The sequence below is a fragment of the Homo sapiens genome, chromosome X (genome assembly GCF_000001405.40).
Source record: "Homo sapiens chromosome X, GRCh38.p14 Primary Assembly".
Classification (NCBI taxonomy): domain Eukaryota; kingdom Metazoa; phylum Chordata; class Mammalia; order Primates; family Hominidae; genus Homo; species Homo sapiens.
The window spans coordinates 133,666,191-133,685,200 of NC_000023.11; the positions used below are offsets into that span (position 1 = coordinate 133,666,191).

The 19,010-nt window shown below is 42.8% G+C and overlaps 1 protein-coding gene and 1 pseudogene across 5 annotated transcripts in view, besides 1 other annotated feature; one reads left to right on the forward strand and one right to left on the reverse strand.

The window, feature by feature from the left end:
- The window catches only part of GPC3 (glypican 3), a 449,850-nt gene that overhangs the window by 130,446 nt on the left and 300,394 nt on the right, over positions 1–19,010 (reverse strand). The window contains exon 7 of one of the 5 annotated variants that reach the window (XM_017029413.3): positions 8,732–8,913. The exons of the other annotated variants lie outside the window; for them this stretch is intronic. Coding sequence (XP_016884902.1) covers positions 8,747–8,913 — 167 coding nt within the window. The 3' untranslated portion in view covers positions 8,732–8,746. Of the gene's footprint in view, positions 1–8,731; positions 8,914–19,010 lie in introns of those variants that run through there. 5 annotated transcript variants of the gene reach the window in all.
- On the forward strand, positions 4,742–5,263 carry RPS24P19 (ribosomal protein S24 pseudogene 19; annotated as a pseudogene).
- Positions 8,671–9,284: an enhancer, noted in NCBI's record as "OCT4-NANOG-H3K27ac hESC enhancer chrX:132808889-132809502 (GRCh37/hg19 assembly coordinates)". NCBI's record gives its function as "activates a minimal SCP1, AML or CMV promoter by ChIP-STARR-seq in naive H9 embryonic stem cells {active_cell/tissue: H9 hESC(naive)}" and the evidence as "EXISTENCE:reporter gene assay evidence [ECO:0000049][PMID:30033119]".

Consider the following 19,010-nt stretch of genomic DNA (forward strand, 5'->3'; position numbering starts at 1 on the left):
ATTTTTTTAAATTTCTTATCTCGCAGCCATGGATAAAGTGCCAGGACTAAACACTGCTCCCTGATCCCACAGTGACTCCATTTTTAAAAGACAGTTTTGGGTTTAGAAGCTTGCCAAACTTTTTGAAAGTTGAAATAGCATCTACTGTTCTGCTCTATCCATGTGCTATTTAAATCCTCAAAGGACTCTAGCAAATTAAGCATGGTTTCTGGTTACAGAAGTGTTGGGAATAGCTGCCCTGTGGCTTAGGCCTAAAGCTTGCCATTTTTGCATCTACTTCACAAGGCAGTAACCAAAAGTCCTGGTCCAACTGATGCCTATAGTTGCTTAAGTTTAGTGGCACTATTTAAAAACTCTGTGTTCTTGCACTATCCTTTAGGTATCTTGATACCTCTCCCACAGCTCTCAATACTTTTTTCTGTTTCTCATGTCTCTATCCTTTGCTCCTTAGCCAGACAAAATATTGAACCAAATTTTAAAAGTAATCAGTGTTAGAATGAAATACTATGAGCACATTAATAGGGCAAAGTAGATCTGTATGTGTTGATATGGAATCAAGTACGAGATACATTATAACAGATACAAATAGCAGCATCTGCAGTGAAAATGGGTCTACATTTGCATTACTCTTATATACTCTATACATGTTCAAATATGCCCAGAAAAATTTTAGATGGATATATAAGAAAAGGATAAGAGCAGTCACTTTCAGTGAGTGAGAATAGGGAGATGCTAGTGAAATCTTATTTTTTTATATCCTTCTATATTTTAAAATATTTTTTACCATGACCATTTTTAATCTTTATAATAGTTTAATATATAACGAATGAGATTTTATATAGCAGTTAATTAAAATGTTTTTCCAGCTTTCTTGAGGTAGAATCGATAAAAGTTAAATACATGTACACTTCCGATGTGATGTTTTGATATATGTACTCATTGTTAAACGATTATGCCAAACCAGCTAATTAACCTATTCATCACCTCACATAATTATCTTTATTTTTGTGGTGAGAACATTTAAGAACTACTCTTTTAGTGAATCTGAAATATACAATATAGTATTCTTTAATATAGTCACCATATTATACATTATATTCCTAGGCATTAGTTGTTTTAAAGGCAAAAGAGAACAAAACAAAAGAAAAACAAAAAGTGGGCCTGACTCAGATGCACATCTCAGGGCCTCTGGGAAATCCTTCCTGTTAATAAGAGTTATGTTGGCAATCACCAATGTCCTTCCTTAAAGGTGCTTTCTTATGACAGAACACATATTTGGGGCAATGTTCACAATGTCACCCTTGAGTTCCTTCAAACCTTAGGTGGTTGACATCAGGTCACCAAGTCAACTTTGTTAGGTTAAATATAGCCCATATTGGCTGGGTGTGGTGGCTCATGCCTATAATCCCAGTACTTTTGGGAGGTCAAGGTGGGCAGATCGTCTGAGTCCAGGAGTTTGAGACCCGCCTGGGCAACATGGTGAAGCCTCATCTCCACAAAAGACACAAAAATGAGCCAGGCATGTTGCCGTGTGCATGTAGTCCCAGTCCCAGCTACCCAGGAGGCTCAGGTGGGAAGATCACTTAAGCCTGGGAGGTGGGGGTTGCAGTGAGCCGAGATCACACCACTGCACTCCAGCCTGGATGACAGAGTGAAACCTTCTCTCTCTTGCTCTCTCTCTCTATATATGTATATGTATATATATTTTCTTTTCTTTTTTTTTCTTTTTGAGATGGAGTCTCGCTCTGTTGCCCAGGCTGGAGTGCAATGGTGCGATCTCGGCTCACTGCAACCTCCGCCTCCTGGGTTCACGTCATTCTCCTGCCTCAGCCTCCCGAGTAGCTGGGAGTACAGGCGCCCTGCCACCACACCTGGCTAATTTTTCGTATTTTTAGTAGAGACGGGGTTTTCACCCTGTTAGCCAGAATGGTCTTGATCTCCTGACTTCATGATCCGCCCGCCCACCTCGGCCTCCCAAAATGCTGGGATTATAGGCATGAGCCACCATGCCCGGCCCTATTTTCTACTCTTCAATGAGGTAACTCCGACCTGCCTATTTCAAAAAGATAGTATATTAGTGAGGATGTGAACATGAATGTAAATTATCAGTTGTACCCTCCCTCAAAACAGAGGCAAAGAACATATTCAAGTTCTCACTACCTTTTCCTGTAGATGCCTGAAGTCCTCACCTGATGAGAATTGAGGGCCTCCCTGAACCACCCTGAGTCATGCTGACCTCACTGCTCTCGCATTGAAATGTACTGTGGGCACTGCCCTGAGTTGCTAGTGCTCCTTTTATGTATATTCCATTTGCCACCCCATGTACTCTGTGAGGTCTTTGAAGGCAGAGGCTTGGTTAGTTTTTTTTTTTTTTAAATCACCCAAAGCACCTCATGGTACTTATACTAGCTGTCAGTTACTGAGTGCTTTCTCTGTGCCAGATACTGTTCGAAGCACTGAAGAAAAAGAAAACATGAACTTAATCCTCCTGACTACCCTATTGGCAGCCTGTTTTTGCTGCTGCTGAGGCACAGAGAAGGTAGGTCACTTGCCTAAAGTCACACAGCTTGTCTGCAGCAGAGCTGGAGTGTGAACTTTGAGAATCCATCTCCAGCTGTGTGGGTTCCATCTCCAGCTGTGTGGGTTCTTAACCACTATGCTGGTCTTGCTTTCTTAGAGAGAAATGATGTTGACTAAATATTTGACATTTCCTCACCACCCTGCTACATTGCTTCCTTGTAGGAAACAATGGATGAGCTGCTTATATTGGTCTACAAGGCTCCCAGCAGCATCGCCACAAAGCTCTCTTGGCCTACTCAGCAAGATTCTTGGACTTGCCCTTTAAGAGCCCCTGGAGAGAGCCCTGTGTATAGGGTTTCTTCTCTTACACAGAGATACGACAGTATGGCTATTTAATAGCCATACTTTGGGAGGCCAGGGTGGGCAGGTCAAAGCCATTCAGTGACATACTTGTGTTCTTGGGAGACAAGGTGTTGAAGTTAGAGAAATAAATAATCCACCACCACCACCATCCATGCCACTAGACACATACGAAAGACTATTTGAAGATTTCAACTGTCTAAGGACAATAGGAAAACAAATGCAGCATAACAATGTCTTAGTGCATCCCCTGCCTTTGTCATCTTGGCTACAGCAAGGCAACATGTGTGATGTGCCCCTGGGGAATTTCATGTAACATGTGTGCTCTGAGCTTCAAGCCCAGAGGGAAGTCAATCGATGAAGGGTGCCTCTGCAGCTTTGCATTAATTCATTAATTCAGCATTTCATTTCCTCAGGCTAGCTCTGTGCCACTGGAGCACGTGGTTCACGACAGGCCTTGAATGAGGATGAGCCAGCGTGGCCCCAATTCTTCTTATCCACAGACTGCCCAGAGGATGTCAGGAATGGGGACACTGTTGGCCATGGGGGATTGTAACAATGGGTTAGCTACTTAGTAATACTCATCTGTAATTAAATTGTCCTCCTCTGCAAAATGCTGCTTCTCTACTGAGGCTTTGACATGGTTCTGGCAATGAATACTAGCAAGTGGAGGAGGAAAAATAAACTGAGAGATGTTCCTACCTCCCAAATCTAATGTTTTCTTAACTGGACATGCTATGTTGGATGTTAGAAGTGTTACCTTACATGCGGCGTCTTCTTCTTTATCCAGTTTGGTAACTGTTTAGCACAAAGATGACTGTCATAATACTAAGAAAATCCTATTTGTGAAGTGAAAAGGGGGACATGCTTCTGTTCAGGCAGATTGGTTAGGGATTGCGGAGGGGGTTGGGGAGAGCAGGGAAAAACCTGCGCAAAAGCCATAAACAGAAAAGGAACCTCATTAAAACAGGACATCTGGGCATGCTTGTCTTGGGACAGTTGAAGCAAAGAGAGCACTTGTAGAAGAGGAATAGAGTCAAACAAGCGTAAAATAGGCGATCTTTTCTTCTCATTTCTGTTCTGGCTGAGGCAGCAATGTTGTAGTGGAGGGAAATCAACAAATTCAAATGTAGATCATTTGAAATGGAAGCACTCTCAGCGATCATCTGGTCCAATCCACTCACTGTGTAGAGGAAGAATCTGATACCCAGACAGGGACATTTGTAACAACACATAGGGTTAGTATCACAAGTCCCACATTTAGAAGAAATGCCTTTCTTTAAAAGGTCTCTCAAACAGATCTTGCTGATTTTTGACACTTGCTAGTACTGATTTAGGACAAGGGAACTGCTAGAAAATTCACTTTCCTTCTTCCCTTAAGTATCAGAATGGTTCCAAGTGCTTGAGAGCCAATCAGAAGGACTAGGTCCCCACCAAAAAAAATTTGATTTCACAAAAGTTTAATATGCTGCCCAGCTATGTATGGCTAAAAATGTTAGAGATCTCACATTCTCAGAGCGCCATCTTATGGACACGATTCAGTATTGCATGTAATCCCTAACTCAGTGATTTATCTGTTTCCTTGGAACGCATTCTGGCCACAACAATCACTGTGGGAAAAACTGGATAATTTAAAGAGCATAAATAGCTTTAAAGACAAACCAGAAAACAGGGTAGAAAAACCATCCTATTAAGAGGCCTAAGAAAACGTCCTTTTCTTTATCCATGATACAGTGTTAATTTACATAAATGCACAGTAAAATAAAGCAAAGGTGAAAAGAGCTGAGATTTGTAAATGTGCTTAATAAAGACAGAAACAATTAGCTTCTTCTTTATTTATGCACATATCTAAATAAAAATGTCTTTCTCCTCCCTGGCTGTCTGAGGATAGACAGCCATCATGAACGACACGGTAACTATCCAAACTACAAAGTTCATGACCAACCGACTACTTCAGGGGAAACAAATGGTCATTGATGTCCTTGACCCCAGGAAGGCAACAGTGCCTAAGACAGAAATTTAGAGTGCCTAAGACAGGAAAAACTAGCCAAAATGTACAAGACCACACCAGATGTCATCTTTGTATTTGGATTCAGAACTCATTTTGGTGGTGGCAAGACAACTGGCTTTGGCATGATTTATGATTCCCTGGATTATGCAAAGAAAAATGAACCCAAACATAGACTTGCAAGACATGGCCTGTATGAGAAGAAAAAGACCTCAAGAAAGCAACGAAAGGAATGCAAGAACCCAATAAAGAAAGTCAGGGGGACCGCAAAGGCCAATGTTGGTGCTGGCAAAAAGTCGAAGAAGTAAAGGGCTGCAATATGTTATCTGCGGCCATTGTGGATTTTTCATGAGAGGATTTATAAACTAAAAACTTTCATGTGAAAAAAATGTCTTTCATAATTGTTTGCATAGCAGTACTACTTCAGAGCCAATGTTAAGCTACGAGGGTGCTAGAAACAGATATATCCACTTTACTCCAAGAAGTACCTGTGTTCTCCAACAACAGCCTTTCAGAAATTACAAGTAGATTTCAGTAGAGAGGAAGCAAAATCTAGGAAAGAAACCCAGGGCATGTAAATCTGTTTCTCTTTCTTTTTCTTTTCTTTTTTTATTATACTTTAAGTGTGCAGGTTTGTTACATATGTATACATGTGCCATATTGGTTTGCTGCACCCATTAACTTGTCATTTACATTAGGTATTTCTCCTAATGCTATCCTTCCCCCATTCCCCCATCCCACGCCAGGCCCCGGTGTGTGATGTTCCCTGCCCTGTGTCCAAGTGTTCTCATTGTTCAATTCCCACCTATGAGTGAGAACATGCGGTGTTTGGTGATATAAACCTATTTCTATATTTCCGTTAGTAGCCATTAGCTATATGAGGGAATAACTGCATTAGAATCTGTTTACAGTGCAGTCTCCAACCTTACTTTGAGGAGGGACTAAAAGATTTGTCTTGGTACATAATCAGGAAGCCACTGAAACCCAGAGAAGCAAAGAATATTTTTCAGATGGTGAGGAAAGAGTGAGAGGTTAGTATTACCCACTACAAGGAGAAGAGTCTGTGGCTGTAGGGAACAGTCCCCCAGCAGAAAGGGGAAGGTAATGAGAAAATGCTTGAGATGAGGTCACCTGAATGTTAGTCTGAAGAAACCAACTTTGCAGAAGAGGCTAGAGATAAAGAGAGAGAAAAGTAAATAAGCACAGCAAAAGTGATTCTTGTGAGAATCGCAAGCTAGGCAGAGCCCAAAGTGTAAGCAAGCTGGTGAGAACTAAACATGGCGGTCAGGACACTAGGCCAGAGCAGTGTCTCTCTGATGGCTGTCCTTGAGGGGAACACACAAATGAGGAGAGGACTCCAACTGTGTTTAAAAACAGAGAAAGAAAAAGGTGTAATTCAAAGCTCAGTAATCGGGGGTGGGGAATAACAGAACAAGGAGTGTGGTAGAGACTTCTTATTCAATCACCCCAAACTCGTTTACCAAGTCCTTCTAGTCCAGAGAACTAGGACCAGACATTTTCTTGTCCTACTCAAGCTAAACCAAAAGGACACGATCTTTACCTGGTGTGTTTGTTTGTTTGTTTGTTTTTGAGACGGAGTCTTGCTCTGTCGCCCAGGCTGGAGTGCAGTGGCGCGATCTCCGCTCACTGCAAGCTCTGCCTCCTGGGTTCACGCCATTCTCCTGCCTCAGCCTCCCGAGTAGCTGGGACTACAGGCGCCCGCCACCATGCCTGGCTAATTTTTTGTATTTTTAGTAGAGACGGGGTTTCACCGGGTTAGCCAGGATGGTCTCGATCTCCTGACCTCGTGATCCGCCTGCCTCGGCCTCCCAAAGTGCTAGGATTATAGGCGTGAGCCACTGCACCCGACTGTTTGTTTTTAAGATGGAGTCTTGCTCTGTTGCCCAGGCTGGAGTGCAATGGCGCAATCTCGGCTCCCTGCAACCTCTGCCTCCTGGGTTCAAGCAATTCTCTGCCTCAGCCTCCCAAGTAGCTGGGATTACAGGCGCACACCACCATGCCTGGCTAATTTTTGTATTTTTAGTAGAGACGGGGTTTCACCATCTTGGCTAGGCTGGTCTTGAACTCCGACCTCGTGATCCACCTGCCTCGGCCTCCCAAAGTGCTGGGATTACAGGCGTGAGCCACTGCACCCAGCCTCTTTACCTATTTTTAAGTTAGATTTTAATTGATGAAAATATCAGGGTTAGAAAGGACCTTCAAAGTCATTCAGCCCAATGTTCTCCTCTTACAGAGGGGCAAACTGAGGCCCAGAGGCCAAATAACAGCAACTAAAGTTATTATTGGCATCACTGCTAGTGAGACAGGAATGAAGCTGTTACCTCCCCCAAATAGAATAGCAAAGAACAAGGGGGCAAGGAACTAGTCACATACCTCAACAACATGAGGGCATTGTGTGAAGGTAACTGACGTTCAAAATAATGATCAATAATTGTTGTAAGAGATTAAGTTCGGTTTGGCAGTCATAGTTTACTGAGGCAGCAAGTACATAATACATTTTAGGGAGGAAGAGTCACGTGGTGGAAAGAGCACTGGCCTTGGAGTCAGAGACATGGGTTCAAAGCTGGTGCCCCCACCTGCTGTGTGACTTTTGATAAATAGTGAAACCTTGCCGAACTTGAGTTTCCTCATCTATAAAATAGGAATAATGCCACCTGCACTGTTTTGAGAATTATTTGATATAATGAATGTTAGCAAATTGAGATAACGTGCTTAAGACAATGCCAGGCACATAGAAAGTTCTATATGAGGGCTGCTGTTATTATTTTTATCACGTGAAAGCACCAAACACAGCATCTCAAATGCAGTAGATGTTCAATAAAGGTTATTTGAAAAGAATCCCCTGCTAGGCATGGTGGCTCACACCTGTAATTCCAGCACTTTGGGAGGCAGAGGTGGGCGGATTGCTTGAGCCCAGGAGTTCGAGACCAGCCTGGGCAACATAGGGAGACCTCATCTCTACAAAACTTAAAAACAAATTAGCCAGGCATGGTGGTGCATGCCTGTGGTCCCAGCTACTTGGGAGGTTGAGGCAAGAGGAGCACTTGAGCCCAGGAGGTTGAGACTGCAGTTAGTTATGATGGTGTCACTGTACTCCAGCCTGGGTGGAGTACAGGAGAACCAGTCTCTAAAAAAAATAAAAAAGAGCTTCCTGAGAGAGAAGAAATAAACCTTGCAATGAATAGCCAAGGGAAGCTTCAAATCCCTTCATCCCCACATTGAGAACTTAAGAAGTGGAAGAGTCTCAGTTCTCTTATTTTGGTCCTCGGTAAAGTATGGGTCAAGGCATGAGTAGGAATGGCTTATCATCAGGGAAAATGGGCAAGGGAAAAAGCACTGGAACTTTCTTTGCCATCGCGATTGAGCAATGATGTGTGAATGGCTGGCTCTGAGCATTTAAGCCTAGCTGAGAGGAACTTTTTAGCAGAGGTGCCCTCCCAAACCTTCCAGGAGACAGGGCATCATCTGAGGGGGAAATGACCAGAAAGGGCTTCAAACGGCTCAAAATTAATTTTAGTTCACAGAAGAACTAATCATTCACCTGTGGCCCAGGGCAACCCTCCAAAGTTTCCTGAGTGACCAGCTTTGGGTGTCAGAAGCCTGTTCCCCTCCCTCCTTCTCCCACAGTTCATATTCCTCCTCTCAGTGATAGAAAATATTCTGCTTCCACTTTGGATACTGTCACAAGTAATGAATTAGATGACTCTTGAAAATGCCCACACGCTTTTTCAAATCTCTCTGCTCAGAACACTGCTTTGTTTGTCTCCAGTCGCTGCAGGGCCCACAACAAACATCCATTCTTTAATGTGGTGATCTTCAAAATGAAGAACAGGACTCTCAAAGTCCACCTAAACAATCACTCTTAACTGACTCCAGACACGTTTGGGAGAGAGGCAAGTCTGAAACAGGAAAAAGTGTGCCTGGTGGATTTTTCTCTTGTGTGGCATCTCTAGAATATGTAGTAAACAGAGGGAGGAAAGGCTCCTCAGTGTTCTTTTGGATGTCTGGCTGAACTGTGGTTAATAAATTGCCAAAGATCAGCCTCAAAGAACAAACTGTTTTCATGCAAATAGGTGCTACTGATACACTTGAAAAGAAAGCTAAACATTCCTGCCACTGTTTTCCGTCAGCTCCTCTGGCCTTAGTCACAGTCACTTCCAGGCCTCAAACCTTCAACCTGCAGAATTAGCCCTACCCAGATCCTGAGCCAGTAGTGACAAGGGCAGGAAGGTGTTAGTTTAACTGACTCACTTGTCAGGCCCCAGGCTCTGGAATTCGTTTTGTTCCTCCAAGCCAGTATTTCATGTTTTTTTGAGTGAGCCCCGGGTGTTCAGGTATGACTTCCTCTTGCCAGCTGTGTTTTCCTGAGCAAAACTCTGTCCTGGGGCTCTTGTCTGTATTCATTTCTAGGCCCACTCCCTTACCCAGTACCTGGCACCCAGTACCCACTCAATAAATGTCTACTGAACTGACCTGAGATAAAAGGCCCCATCCAATGCTCAGTTTGTGTGATGGAGACTCTAAGCTACTCTGCCTAACCCTTGTCAACCTGTTGCCCCTGGGGCCTTTCCCCCAAATCTGCAGCCACTGACTGAGGACCTATGTTACACTGGGCCCTTCGAGGTAAACCTGTCAATGTGTCCCACCTGCCAGATCACACCATTTTAGAAACCAGTGGCAACCTAGAGAACAGCAGAGTTCCTTTTCTATGCTCCACTGAGTGTCATCATCTATTCTACACTTACCTATTAAGCATCTACATAGCCCTGTTCTCAGCCACAGAACTTTAGTTGTTGGAGGTCCTGAATTTTCCAATGTTCTGGCCTACTAATTCCGGTCTGGACTTCACGAACCAGCATTTAGTTTCTGCCTTGGCAAATCTGGTCTTCAGAAAAGGAAACATCCAACTGATGACTGTGTTGGATTCCCACTGCAAACCGGTGATTGAGAGTGTGTAGCCATATTGCTTCATGAGCCATCTATACAGCCACACCATCCTACATCACAAAATCCAGAGTGCTGGTGCAGGGGGGCTGCCGTGGTTGCTGGAAGGGAGAAGGGACTACCAAGAATAAGGTAGCTAAGTGTTAGATTTGTCCAAGAACACTGGCTGGTCTTGTCTGCAGAGAGTAGAACTGCTCTTTCTATAGTCTTCCTAAACTCATGTCCAGAGATCTAGGACCAAGGCTGCAGCAAGAACCCTGAAGCAGCAGAAAGAAACACACTCAGCAAGTCTTTGCCTGGTGGAAGTGCATGGCCATGGTGGGCATGGGCAGAGACACTGGCACAGGGGAAAGAGCCTACCTTTGCCAGTGTCCATATGCAGGACAGCTCTGCACTCGACAGGCCCAAGCCTTACCCTGCCACTCTCAAGTTGCCAGCAATAACATAACATGAAAGAATAACAAAGGGGGAGAAAAGGTGAGCTGAAGTGTAAACTACACCCACTCCAACTGCCCTGGTAGCTGCAGGTGCCCTCCACTGCTCAACTCTTTGCACCTGCTCTCCTGCTGGAACAAGTGGCCTATTGTGTGAGGCTGTACACATGGAGGTGCTAAGCAAACAAGAAATGACTCTTCTGATCATAAAGTAGATGGGATTCCAGGAAAACTTTACTAAGCCAAATAAAAGTGATTGTAAAGCACTTGGTAAAATATAAACTGCTGCATAAATACTTAATAAAAGCTCACAGCCATGCACACAAGGACAACTAGGTCAAAATTTACCCAAGCCCTCTAGCCTGGAGGGTCTTGGAAAGGGTGGAAATTGTCTCTCTCCCTCTGGTTTTCTTAGCCACTTTGTATTCCTTTGCTCTTAACCTGCCCTTCAGCCCTTGGCACTCCCCCAATGTCTCTCTCCTGTCACTTATATATCTCTGTGGTTAGAGGGCTTCTAATTTTCATTCTGGACAGTTGTGTCAAATATTATTGGGAGCAACAGACATTGAATTCCATTTTCTTTTTCCTGCTCAGAAGCCCCATTGGAGTTATGCAGTGCTATGGGGGAAACATTTTCTTTAAGGTTTAATTATGTGAGTTGTACCCCAAACTCTCCAACATTAGAAATCGAGAACAACTCTGACATCTCAAACAGCCAACCTACCTGCTCCCCTGTAGCTCCAATAATACCTGGAGGAGTAAAATGAAGAGCTCACTGCTGTCGTCAGGAGAATGATTATACCCTGGGGTTCCTTTCGAATCACTTTCACTTTGGTCTACTTGGGAAGGCATCAAATTCAAAGTCATTAAGGTAGCTTTATGGTGTTCCCTTTCCTTTCATATTCCCTCCCCCATCAAATATCTTTGTTATAGGATCTCATAGCCTGTTATAGGTGGAAAGTGCTTTAGAGGTGATTTTGTCAAATTCCTTTATTTTATAAGTAAAAGAAAAAACAGAAGTGCAGTGACTTGTCCAAGGTCATGCAACAAGTTCACAGTAGAGCTAGGACTCAGGCTGGAGTCTCAGCCTAGGGCAAAGGTTTTTTGTTTGTTTGTTTGCATGGACTCCAAAGCGCCACAGGGGATGCACAGGCAATGGCTTTATTATCAGAGGCATGTGAGTAGAGGAGATTAAATGGAGAGCTAGCCTCAGAGGCAGGTGAGTGCCATTTTCTAGCAAGGGGCTGAAATATCTCTAAGAACTCCTTCTTCCAGGGGATGGCGCCTTATAGACTTGAGAGGACATGAGAGCAGAGAAGCATGGTATGAGAGGCAGGAAATGTACTTCTACTCTCAAGGAGCAAGACTGGGCAGGGAACAAGGAAAGGACAGGGTATAGCAGTACAGACCAGAGAAAAGCTGCACAGAACACTCATTCCAGGTCTGCTGGATGACAGATTAAAGCAAGCTGACGTCAGGATTTCCACCAAGAATAGGAAGAAGGTGAGAAGGCTTTAAACCTTGCAGGAGAGAAGTCAGGCATTTGACAGGCAGGACAGTACTGTGGGTAAGGGATGGATTGGATGGGTTTGAAGCCCATCTTGCTGTGGCCTTTGGTAATTTACTCAATGTCATCAGTAGAATCAGTAAAATGTAGGTAATAATACTGTCTGCTTCAAAAGGCTGTTGTTGAGAATTAGTCAATGCATACAAACTGCCTAGCATATTGTGTGGCACTTGGGAAGCTCCATAGAATGGTTAGTTATTACTATTATTAGCCACTTTACTGTCTCAGTCCTGCTTTCTGAAGTCCCACTGTACCCTTAGAATTTGAGAGAGCAAAGGGAAGAGGGCAATGATCAAAATGCATCAGGGAGGAAAAGGTAAGAGGAGTTAAAAAGTGAAGGCAGAGAAACCAACAGAATGGGTGAGCTGCAGCTCTCCCAGCTCTCCTCCACCCCTTCAATGTAAACCCCCACGACTGCATCTTTTCCCTATATTTAGTAGCTGTAAGAGTCATAGGTACCAATAGGTAACCAACCACTCCAGTTTGCTGGGACTGAGGGGTTTCCTAGGACTTGGGACCTTCTGTGCTAAACCTGGAAAGTCCTAGGCAACCTGGAAAAAGTTGATCACTGTAGGGGCCAGAGGGTATTTGCTGTTCGAGATTACTATTTGTTATAACCAGAGAGCAGGGCACTGCTGCTAGATGCTATCCACTGGGGTTTGAAAAAGCTGGGTTATCCAGAAGCCATGTATAGGAATTTGTAATGGTACTTTCTTCATGCCTATAAATGAAAAAAATAGGGGTTTCTTAAATAGATAAGCTTCTCCAGGGGAACATTAGCCAATTTGAGGAGGATGGTCTTTAGCAGGATAGCCACACAGCAATAGCCTCATTATCAATGATTCTTATTTGTATGCTTCGATTCTCTGACACAGGCTGTCTTTCTCCAAATTCAATTCCCAGCATTGTTATTATATGTGTTTGAAAGTAATAAAACTGCATTTACTTTAAAATGATCTGTCACTCAGACTTTTCATTAATTTAAACTGATGCTACCAATCTCTCAAAGTATTTCCTTATCGAGGGCCAACTGGTTTAATTCAGCACCACGGGCTGACTTGTTTAAAAATAAAATTCATGGGGATAGGTGGATTTGCTTAAAATTTTTTTTAAGTGACATTCCTCAAGTCCTTGAGAGATGTACAGAGAGAGATACTCAGGAAGCTACTAAAGGATCCATGTTTGTAAAGAGAGCCCAGTAATGCTGTGTTGATTACCCAATGTTCCATTTATTCAGGGTAAAACTTCCCCTTACATCTGATCTACTCTTCTACACTAACATCTAGTAAATGGAGGGTAATTTATAATTTTCAAAAACATCTCATATGCGTTTTCTTATTGGAGGCTCACAGCAACCCTTTGAGGTAGGCAGGGGAGGTATTAATTTCACAAAAGGAGAAAACAAAATAGAGTTTAAGTAATCTGCTTAATGGTACAGTGATACCATGGGAAGCTAGGCCTAGTACTAAGGTCTGTTACCCACAACTATGTTTGTTGGTTCATCCTACGAATTCAATAAACATGTATAGAGAGTTTACTCTATGGCAGGCACAGCTAAGCAATGAGGTTCTATAGATGGAAGACACAGTACTACTATTTATTTTTTATTTTATTTTATTTTATTTTTTGAGACAGGGGATCACTATGTCACCCAGGTTAGAGTGCAGTGGTGCGATCATAGCTCACTGCAGCCTCGACCTCTCGGGTTCAAGCAATCTTCCCGCCTCACCCTCTCGGATAATTGAAACTAGAGGCACATGCCACCACGCCCGGCTAATTTTTTGTATTTTTGGTAGAGACGGGGTTTCGACATGTTGCCCAGACTGGTCTCCAATTCCTGAGCTCAGGCAATCCACCCACCTTGGCCTCCCAAAGTGCTGGGATTACAGGCATGAGCCACTGTGCCCGGCCCACAGTACCAGTCACGAAGGAGCTACTAGAAGATTACAGACAGACATGTAAAAGCTCTCAATATAGTGTCGCTGGGGACATGCTAGAGAGAAGATAAGGTGCCAGCAAGCCTTAACCCAGACAAAGGTGTGGACAGGAGGATCCAGGGTCCTCAGAAGAGATAATGTTAAGGATAAGTAGGGGTAAGCTAGCCAATGGCTCTTTTTCTAGCCCATTCTAAGATGGTCCTTGTCTTAGTGCTCCCTAATAGTATTTGGAAATTAGCTTTTCAGCATGAGTTCTTACATAGTGCAATCCTCTATGCATCCCTCCAACCCCAACTGCTGTATCCCTACCCCAGGTGGGAACACCTTACTCTGGCTCCTGCTGAACAAGTACTCATCCCAGCTCTAGGCCCGAAGCTGTGATTAGAAGCAAAGAGAACAATGACAAAATGGGCCAACAAGTGGCTCAAACCAAGAAAAAGTTCATTTGGGTAGTTTTTAAGATCCATCTGACCATGTGGATCACTAAGATCTCAGCGGGCAAAAAATAGGAAGCTCCTGTGACACTGGAGTTACAAATTAAAACAAATTTCTTTTCCAGGGAAATGAAACTACATTCTAAATGAGACAAACCCATGGATCAAAGCCATACTCACGTAAAAGAATAAAATTCATTGGCTTGAGAAATTGGGAAATCATGACTGATTTTAATGATCTTTCTCCTTTTCTACAAAGGCTAACTCAAGGGTGACAGAAAGGACTTTAGAGCACTGAACAACTATTTTTGACCTGCAACTAGACTCATCATGGTTTTTAATGTAATTTAGGAAGATTGCCCGAGTTAATCTCTATAAAGCAGTCATAGGAGAAATGGTTTAAGATGTCTTTGCTGTGAAACAAGATGCTGAAGGTAAGAAGGCCAGCCTAGCGCACACCCTTAGATGCAAATAACTCTCACTTGATCCCCAGTGGACTCAAATGCCCACCATTTGAACCAACCATGACCAAGGATTGGGATTTTGATGTTTTTGCAGAAAAAAGAGGAAATAACATAAAAATGAGAGGGGGGTAGGTGTTCCTGAAAAGTTAAGAATGGGTTATTGAAGGGAGCCAATATCAGGCCTAACTCCATCTATCTCCCAGTAAAGATCTTCAAGGGCTTTTTTATAGGTTTTTTTGAAGAACAGCAATAATAGCTACCATTTTTGAGAGACTAACTGTGTTCCAGGCACTATACTCTGCACTTCGCAATCTCCTGGAATCTTTTCAACAATCTGTTAAGGGAGAAACTATTAACTCCATTTTACGTGTGGGGAAGCTGAGGATCAGAGAAGAAAAGGAGCTAATAGGTAATGGAAAAGGCATTCAAACCCAGGCTTTGCTGACTCTAAGGTTGTAAGTTTAAACACTCTACTACACTGCCTTAGGTTGCCACATAACTCTGTGTGCTTTTTGTTAATCCCTCAACTGTTTGGCTACATTTCTATCAGTAAAAAATCATCGGAGAAACTCAAACAAGATTTTGTACTTGCTGAAGTATAGGAAGAAAGAGCAAAAAAATAGGAGAGCTAAATTTCTTTCAAAGAAGTCACCAAGAGCTTGTACCCTAGGGAAAGAACTGTGCCAGTAGCAGCAAAGAAAGTGGCACCTGCCAGCCATTTCCTGTGGCCTGTGGAACAGAAAAACCACCACCACAATCCAACGATCACAGCCACAACAATGACAACTGCCAGAGGTGTTCTAAGAGCAGGGCCGCTAGCAGGAAGCTCCCAAGAAAGAGGCTTCCCTAACATACCTTTCCCTGTGCTTCACACTCCAAGTCCCAAGAGTCCACTTTCACTGATGCTCAGTGATTGACTATCAGAAAGAAACTTCCTGAGTCAGAGAAATTGGACAAAAATGTTTCAGGCGGGTGTTACTGTTTGTAGAGGTCAGAGGTGTTCTGATGAAGTGACACTGATAACACTAAAAGAAATTTACCAGGGAAACGTCAGGACACCTATCACACTCAGCAGCCTTGTTTCAATCAGTATTCAACTTACATGCTCTCTGAGGGGTGAATATAAAGTCATGACAGATTTCAAACTTGTATAAATCTACCAGAATGTATGCAGCCCAAACGTTGTTGCAACAATTATGCTGACATCACTCAAAACACTTCTTGCTGGGCGTGGTGGTACATGCCCATAATCTCGGCTACCTAGGAGCCTGAGGCAGGAGGATCGCTTAAACCCAGGAGTTCCAGACCAGCCTGAGCAACACAGCGAGACCCAGTCTCTACAGAAAAATTCCTGGAACTCCTCTTTGGAAACCCCATTTAAAGCCAATATAAATGTTAGAAGAAGGAAACAGCCCTATTATTTTATCCTCTCACTCCAAATGAACCCCAAATGGTATGAGCCTGCTTGATCAGCCACCTCATTTAGCAGTTTCGTTCCCAAAGACTCACATTATTTCCCAAAAAAAATCCAGTTTACCTTTATGGGAAGAAACATGGCCCACACCTCTTCACCTTTACTCTGGACATTTACATGGGCTGCTCAACCATGGTATAATAGTAATGACAACATCAACACCAGCTATCAATTATTTAAGTGCCTATGTGCCAGAACTTATCTTCACAACAGCCCTGCAGAGTAGGTATCATTACTCCCATCTTATAAATAAGGTAACAGAATGTCATATTAAATGTCCTGCCCAAAGCACACAGCTGGTGTCTGAACTAGGATTAAAATATCCATCTGGGGCCGGGCGCGGTGGCTCACGCCTGTAATCCCAGCACTTTAGGAAGCCAAGGAGGGCAGATCACTTGAGGTCAGGAGTTCGAGACCAGCCTGACCAACATGGTGAAACCCTGTCTCTACTAAAAATACAAAAATTGGCCAGGCATGGTGGCACGTGCCTATAATCCCAGCTACTTGGGAGGCTGAGGCAGGAGAATCGCTTGAATCCGGGAGGCTGAGGTTGTGGTGAGTCAAAATTGTGCCACTGCACTCCAGCCTGGGTGACAGAGCTAGACTCTGACTCAAAAAAAAAAAAAAAAAAATCCATCTGGATCATTCTAAAGACTGCACTCTTCCCAGTATGTATTAATCACCTAGTGTATGTTTCCTAACGTTTCAGGGTCTTCTCACTGAAGACCTCAGCCTGCACCACCGATAATCAACTGGTTGAGAATCAACAACTTGTAGACGGCAGGGATCAGCCATAAACCCACAAGGCTTTTTCCAAAAAGGAGGTAGAAAAATTATTTGGAAGACTGGCAGCATCAGTGGAGTCCATCTGTCACTTACCAAGGCACTACCTTTGAAGGAGGCAATAATAGTTAAGGGGCAGAGAAGCTCTAGTATGTTAATTTACCCATTTCTTAAAAGCAGATATGTTTCTTCCTGGTTCCATCTCCTAAGCCTTCCAGGCTAAAATAGAAGATTTCTGATTCATGGAGCAGTGATAGTAAAAGGAGACAGGCCTTATCCAACCATCAGAATCACATTTCCAAGAGGAAATTAGGAGGTGATGTTTATTTGTTGAGGGTGTGGATATGCTGGGACCTGCTTTGGAGGCCCCCAAATGCTCTTTGTATCACAAAATGATCCAACTGAGCTCAACAGAGGCTAGAATTGTATACTAATAGGACACAATCTGCTTAAAGTAATAAGCTATCCAGTATTCAACAGGTTGTCTATAGACATATCAATGTTGAGCCATGAAAATGTCTCTTCCTGCTACTTAAGACATGACAGTCAACCAAGTCTAACACATCCTGAATGGAGCACACTGTATTAAGCCATCCGTCAGCAGCATAAGCTGTGTTTTTCTCACTCAATTCTGAAGGTAAAGCTACTGTATATGACACCATAATCTTAAGGGATAAATGTTACTGTATTGCCACGAGAGTATGTCCTGATAAATATCTGTCATTAAAGACTACATCTAAGATAAATCGCTGCTGAAAAATATGCCAATCTAAGTCCATAGAGAGATTATTACATGGGGGTACTCTCCAAACTGATCTGTTCTGCCTTACCAGGATTTAAAAAAATTCTTAGCTGCCATAAATATTTCATGCTATACCAAATTAAGTCACTTTCTGCATAATCCATTTCTCCTTCAAAGGCTTTCCAAGAGCAATCTTGACTTATCTAAGGCAAGGTAGAATATGTAAACTGCCATACTAGCAAAGCATCATTATACTTCAGTATGTTCATTCTTGGGCACACACTCAGGCTAACATAGCAGTTCCCCAAATCGGAAAAAATGAAGTGTCATGTTTCTGCTCCTGGGAAAACTAAAGTAGAAATGAAATCCAAAAATGTCTTAGGGGGACCAGGAACTGTGGAGATAGATAGTGATAAATCAAATACCAAAGCCCTATTTGTCCCTCTGTCCCTCCCACCAGCCTTTCATAAGCAGAGCCTCCTCCAATATAGGGGCAAAGGAAGAACTAGCTATGAGAAGAGAGAGCTGGGAAGTTGAAGACTATACCTCAGTTTCTAACCCTCAAATCACCACAACAGTGGCTGAGAAGAGCTACTGAGTCTCACCTTCAGCATGACTTTAGTCTGACTTATGCCTGAATCAATGGACTTTCGGACCTGACTCAATGCTACTGAATATTATTTCCATTGTCCATTGTTTATGTTTTTCTGTACCCTCTTCCTCTTGGCTCTGTATTTTATTTATTTATTTCCCCATTGATGTTTGCATTGGCTATTCTATATTTAAAATTGTATGCATACTGCCTTGGGCACTTTGGAGAAAAGCCACCCTATAAATTAAAAAACAACAACAACAACAACAAATAATAACTTATTTTAGCACGAGAGCATGGAAGCGATGTATAGCAACTGCTGCGTACCACTGGCCTGTTCTGACATGACTAGAATGAGATGTGCATGTTTTATATGTATGTGTGAGTATATATGCACTTTGGCATATAGGTCTTTTTTTTTTTTTACTTAATCTCTTTACTACTAGATTGAAGATTCTGAAGGTCTTTCCTTGTTTCCATGTAAACCAGTGAAAGACTTTTTCGTGTTAGAAATTTTTAGGTACAACATACACTACTTGGGTGATAGATGCACTAAAATCTCAGAATTCACCACTATATAATTGATCCATGTAACAAAAACCCACTTGTACTCCAAAAGCTATAGAAATAAAAACTAAAGAAAAGAAAGAACTGTGCCCCCAACCAAATTTCTCAAAATATACCGTGTTCTTAAAATAATTGCATTATAAAAGCAGAATCAACTATTCTC